The following is a 6,428-nucleotide window of genomic DNA, read 5'->3' as shown; positions in this document are numbered from 1 at the left end:
TCTTCTCAATGTGCTGGCTTTCCAAAATAGTCTCCTTCCTTACCCCAACATCATGTCTCTTGACTAATTGGCTGTCTTGCAGTGAGCAGTATGAAATTGGACCTGACTACAGTGGAGGGGAAGTTCCCTTAGGTCCAGCATAATGTGAAAATATATAACCTTCAGAACTTATTGTTTCACTTAAAAAATGGATGTGATATTTATCATGTATAGCTTATCCATTGTGTAGGATAAAATAAATTTATATTAAAAATTACATGGTAAAGTGCACCATTGAAATATAGCCATCATGATCATCAACATTGTTCTCTTTACCTCTCTTGAATCTCACCTGAAGCTTTCATAGTCCATATCTAAAGGCAGTGCTATAGTTTTGCACAAGGGATGACCTCCAATCAAAGTATGCAGTTGAATTCCAGATCCAAATATGACCATCTGCATATCACTTCCACATGTGTAATACACAAGCCTTCTCTGTCAAATAACCTTAAGAGTATTCCTCATTTTCCTCCATAAAATCTTTTCCTGATGTTATGATGTTCTGATGTTATGCCAATTGCGAAAGCAGAAAACAAAGAGTCACCCTTGACCTCAACATCCATATAATTGATATTTCTTATTAGTTTCTATATCTATTACCACCATATATACATATATGTGTGTGTATATATATGTGTGTGTATATATATATGTGTGTGTATATATATATGTGTGTGTGTGTATATATATATATATATATATATATATATATATTGCATTAGACAAATATACATAGATTTGAAACATTGAACTTAGGAGTTGAATTGACTAAAGAATGATTTGCAAATTGGACATCCTCCCAAACCAGATTAGGCTCAGAGAGGCTGCAGCATAGCCATGTGGTGGAGGAAGATGTATGGATGGTTAAAAAAAGAGAGTGAGTATGGAAAATAGAAATGAGGTGTAGAAACAGCCAGATTCATTACAGCTCAGAGTTTGCCTCATGTGAACCTAGTTTGAACAGTTGGCTGCCTGACCAAAACTTGGTGATTGGCACAAGAGTAGGTTGCAGTCTGTTCTACACATCCAGCTAGAGTACAGTTCACTATGTATAAAGAATCTTTAAAATATGTAAAGAGGCAGCTTTAAGCTAAACTTCATTTAACAATATTTATATACATGTATTATATATATAATTGTATGTAATTACATATAAAATATATTTAAGTGTATATATAATATATAACTATATATAATTATAGACCTATGTATAATACATATGTAACTATATATAACATATATAACTATATATGCAGTTACATATATAGTTATACATACATATATGTAGTTACATATATAGTTATATATACATGTAATTCTATCTATCTATTATCTATCTATCGATCTATCTATCTATCTATATCTGCTACTACCACTGCTATTGTCTTACTTATGGCCCCTAGGTTGTTACTCTGGAGCAGATTACGGAAAAGCGAGCTACGGAAAAATTGCTGCTTATAATTTAACCAATTGCTGATTATAATTAACTAACCTACTAATTTGTTTTCTAATTCCTTTCTGACTCATCATATACATACTCTGTACCTCTAACAAAGTGATTATTTTGTGGTTAACAAAATCGAAATTCTATTTTAACTTACAGAGTTCCTCCACATGATCTACAAACTCACCTCCTATACCCTCCATCCCATCCACCATCTGTCCCCACCAAAACCTGAGCTACAGTCCCTGACCTTGCTCAATATTACACAGCAAGTAAGCAGTAAACCCAGGACACAAAAGTTAGTTGTGAAGACCCCAGAATCTTAGTATTTCCTTCACTCGTTTATACAATTGTTGGTCTTTTTGTTATTGCAGTTTTCTCCATCCCTACAACAGATATTCCATGACCTTCTCTTTGCTTCTCTCTTCTGTATCCCATACCTCTATCTCTCAGGAGGTGCTTGGGAGTATCTATTCTAAGTCACTCCCTCAGGGTAAGCCCATTCTATGTTGTTCACTGAAATGGAAATTGCTACCCCCCACAATTCACCCCATGTCCTCTCCTACTGTGAGTGCTTGTCATTACATTCACCTTAACATCATTTAAAACCAGTCAGGCAGTCACATTCTTTAAGGAGTAAAATTTATGTTACAGCTAAAATAAAAATTAAAAAAGTCAATTATCTTAATGAGTTGCAGGTGGAGGAGAGAGAAAAAAAAGAGGCATTTGAAAGGGCATGTCAAGGTGCTATGGATGATGGAAACCAGACAAGTACTGCTTAACTCCTAGAGCAGAGAGGATGACTGTGTCTGAATGTTGGGAATAGAATAAGCAGCTGTCCTACCAGATCCCGACTGAGTTAATTCTTAGCCAAGAGAGTATGAGGGAGAATGGGGTAGTACACTGGGAAACTGAATGCAGCATTAAAAGCTACATCATGAGAGGGAGATAAACTATTTGGAGGAGAGAAAAAAAAAGCAGTGGAACAGAAAATAAAGGTATAATAAAGAATGATATTGACATTCTAGTCCTGCCGAAAACCTCTCCCAGGTATGAAGAAGATGAGTTCCTGAGGGAAATGAGTTCAGATGAAAAAGCCTTAGTTTTACAGTACATATTTTAAACAGGGAGAGATTATCTATGCCATTTTCAACTACTAAATGTCTTTCTGGAAAATGCCCTAGGTTATAACAGGAGCTTAATGTAAGATTTATTTGTTGATATGGCTTTTTCTTTCTTTTTTCTTAATTTTTATTTTATTTTATTTTATTTTTTGAGACACAGTCTCACTCTGTTGTCCAGGCTGGAGTACAATTGCAAAATCTTGGCTCACTGGAACCTCCACCTCCCAGGTTCAAGTGATTCTCTTGCCTCAGGATCCTGAGTAGCTGGGATTACAGACATACACCACTACGCTGAGATAATTCTATTGTATGTTAAGTAGAGACAGGGTTTCACCATGTTGGCCAGGCTGATCTCGAACTCCTGACCTCAGGTGATCCACCCGCCTCGGCCTCCCAAATATTGCTATGGTTTTAAGGTGTTTTTCTTTGCTTTGTGTATGTTTGTTACCTTTGCTGGTTTGCTTTGCTTTTAAATAATCTGGGAGAACAAGAGTCCTCAAAAAGGCAGGAGCACATTAAATCCTTACTGAAGATACTCCCAGTTACCCATCTATTCTAAAAGCCAACTCAAATCACATTGAAACCGCCTTTGCAAACACTACAACAGAAAGAAGTCTAGCATGGCTGATTCCATCCTGCTTCCACCCTCACAGGTTGGCTGTCCTCATTCATTCCTGGCTGTACCCCGACTAACAATGAGAGAAATTTAGTTTATATTATAGTTTAACTTCGAAGCAAGTATGATAATGGTCCCACCCTAAAACTGACCCTCACCTTGGTCAGATATCTTAACCACCTTTGTAAAACTAATGAAAGACCAGGAGATTAGGATTATGGAGGGACATTGATTCTGCTAAAATGTAGGCATGGTTAAATTATAATCAGCAATTGTTCCATAGCTTGCTTTTCCATAATCCCTTACTGCTCCAGAGTCATGTGTCCAGAAGTCAATTTGTGACTTTCCCAATTGCTCCTATAGGTAACATCCCTGTTGCAGAACCAAAGATTGGTCTTTTGAGATGTTTTTCAGACATTTGCATCCAAGTGACTGACCCCACCTGGACCTGTGAGTCATGGCTCAGCCTCAACCATTCCTATTTTTTCCACCTAGTGGCTGCTCAGCACACATGACCATTTTCCATACCCCTATGATTTCATCCCCAACCAATCATAGCACCCATTCACTAGACCCCTGACCACCAAACTATCCATAAAACCCTAGCCTCTGAGTTCTTGGGGAGGCTGATTTGAGTAATTCCTCCCATCATTCTGTTCAGCTGTGCCTGTGATTATTCAAATCTTTCTTTGTTGTGAAAACCACTGTTCTCAGTGCACTGGCTTTTCTGAAAAGCAGGCAAGATGAACCCATCAGGTGAGTACAGCATAACTTTCTGTAGCCTAAAGCTTCACACACTTATCTGCCTGAAATTTCCTTAGATTTCAATCCCTACAAGTGCAAAACTTTGGCCAGGAACTACCAGTATTAAACTCTCATTCATATATAAGTCTTAGACATGGTTGTAGTGCAGAAAACAATTCTCCAAAATGTGGTGCTTAGACAGGTTGAATGCTTTTGAAAATTGAAAGTCCTCAGAAATAAGCCTCAGAATCAAGGTCCTTTTAACCTTGTCTTGTTCCTCCCCTCGAGCACAGGGGAAACTCTCTATCTCTATGAAATTTCCTTTTCTGGCCAAGAAAGCTTCTTACCAAAAGAAACACAACTTCCTTCTCTGCCATCCCTGAACTCTCATTATCTACAGCAGAAAAGAAGACTGAAGAATGCAACCATACTTAGATGAACCTTTTCACAAGATAATGCCTGCCTCTGGGTCATTCAAATTCCAAAGAGAATCATTTAAAAGTTAATTTCTGCCTCCCTTGTCCATTCTCCTTAATCATCATTTACTGTCCTTCAAAAGAATTGTTGACATTCCTATATCCTCCCTACTCTAGGACAAAGGGTATATAAACTCCTGTACCCCACTGGGGGGCTGAGGTAATCATGTCATTTTTCTTTCTGTGCATGTTAAAAAATAAAGTGTATGCCTTTTCTATCAATTTGCCTTTTTTTCAGTTGATTTTCAGCACACTTTCAAAGGGTGAAAGGGAAGTTTTCCCTTAGCCCTTATAACATTTTTAGGAATTATCTATTGCCATTAGATTGTGTGATATTGTAGGGGCCAAGGCCCTTGCCCCTGAAGGTGCACTGAAAAACCAACTCTCAAAAGGCAGATTAACTGGAGGAAAGGCATACAAATTTATTTAATATGTATATGGAACCACTTTTGCAAAAACTGTAACAGCAAGAAAATTATCGCAGTGAAAGAGATCAGATATAACCAACCCCTATCTTGCCTTTATTTTTCAAACTGTCCTTAGTTATTCCAGGGCTTGGGCCCAGTTAACTTTGGGAGACATTTAGTTTATAGTTTAAATGGTAACAGCCCTTCCTCAAAACTCATCTGCCTTTGTAAAGGTAATGAGAGACAACTAGGCTAAGGATAGGAGGATAAGAGAAGACTGAATTTGGCTATGGTGTAGACATAAACAGTTACCAGCCATTACTCTGGAGGTCGCAAAATATGCAACTTCCCCAATTGCTTCTACAGAAAACATTACCATTGTAGAACCTAAGATTGGCCTTTTGAGATGTCTTTTCAGATTTTTTGCATATCTGACGAACAATGGTTCCACCTGGATCCACCAACTGCACCTGTGGCACCATCCAGAGGTGACTCAGCAAGCATGAGGATCATTTCCCACATCCCTATGATTGCAACCCAACCAGTCAGCAACAAGCACCCACTGCCTAACCAACCCCCCGCACCGCCACAAGCTATCTTTGAAAAACCGTTGCCTTCAAATTCTTGAGGAGGAGGATTTGAGTAATAATAAAATTCCTGTATCCCATTTAGCCAGGTCTATATGTATGAAACTTTTTCTATTGCAATTCCCCTGCCTTGATAAATTATCTCCATCTGGGCAGCAGGCAAGAAGAACCCAGTGGGAGGTTGCATAAATGTGGGGAGATCCACTGAATGATTACCACCCCTCAGTGTGGCTCAGAAGCTTACACAGCATCCTGGAAAAACAGGTTTCGGGAGCAATGAGAAGTGGAATTTTGTGGAGGGGAGTAGTAGGGAGAGTAAGTGGATCAGGGAATAGATATTAACTTGTATACTATTTAGTGAAAGGGTCCATTCAGGTGTGGTTTATATTTTTGGTCTTACAGGAAGAGGAAGAAAAAACAATTTTTCTCCTTGGTGGGTCTAAATCTTAGGCAGATAAACATCTGTGCTTTTGGAGAGATGATGGGGGTTAGGGATGAGGTCAGAGAGACCTTGAGGCTTCTTCAGTTCAGCAACTCCAAACTCCATGTTTAAATTCTTCCCATAGTTACCTTGGCCTATGCTCAGGAATGGACAAGGACGGCTTGGAGATAAGAAGCAAGATGGAGTCAGGTCAGATTTCTCTCACTGTCATCAGTTTTTTTGCAAAAGTGGTTTCAATCTCAAGTATCTGGGTCTTAGCTTCAGCACAGGCCTCAATGAATAGCAGGAAAGCTACTAAGAAGAAAGCAGCAAAGGCACCATTCATTCCCAACAAACTAAAGTACACTGACGTTTAAACAACTTTCTTACTCACTTTTTTTCTCTGTCTGCTTTACTTTAATTTGTTAAAATTTTTTTTTAAAACATAACCATCTCTGACTTATTTTATAGCATTCCAGCTAATTCCTTTTTAAAAATTTTAATTACTTAAAATCAATTCAATATCCAGTCATTTAAAAATGGCTTTAATTATTTATCTTTAAAAAAATC

General features: G+C 38.0%; 1 annotated feature.

The window, feature by feature from the left end:
• Nucleotides 4,959-5,920: an enhancer, noted in NCBI's record as "OCT4-NANOG hESC enhancer chr2:125752724-125753685 (GRCh37/hg19 assembly coordinates)". NCBI's record gives its function as "activates a minimal SCP1, AML or CMV promoter by ChIP-STARR-seq in primed H9 embryonic stem cells {active_cell/tissue: H9 hESC(primed)}" and the evidence as "EXISTENCE:reporter gene assay evidence [ECO:0000049][PMID:30033119]".

Source organism: Homo sapiens, chromosome 2 (genome assembly GCF_000001405.40).
Source record: "Homo sapiens chromosome 2, GRCh38.p14 Primary Assembly".
In the NCBI taxonomy this organism is placed as follows: Eukaryota; Metazoa; Chordata; class Mammalia; order Primates; family Hominidae; genus Homo; species Homo sapiens.
This window is presented reverse-complemented; position numbering and strand designations above follow the sequence as displayed.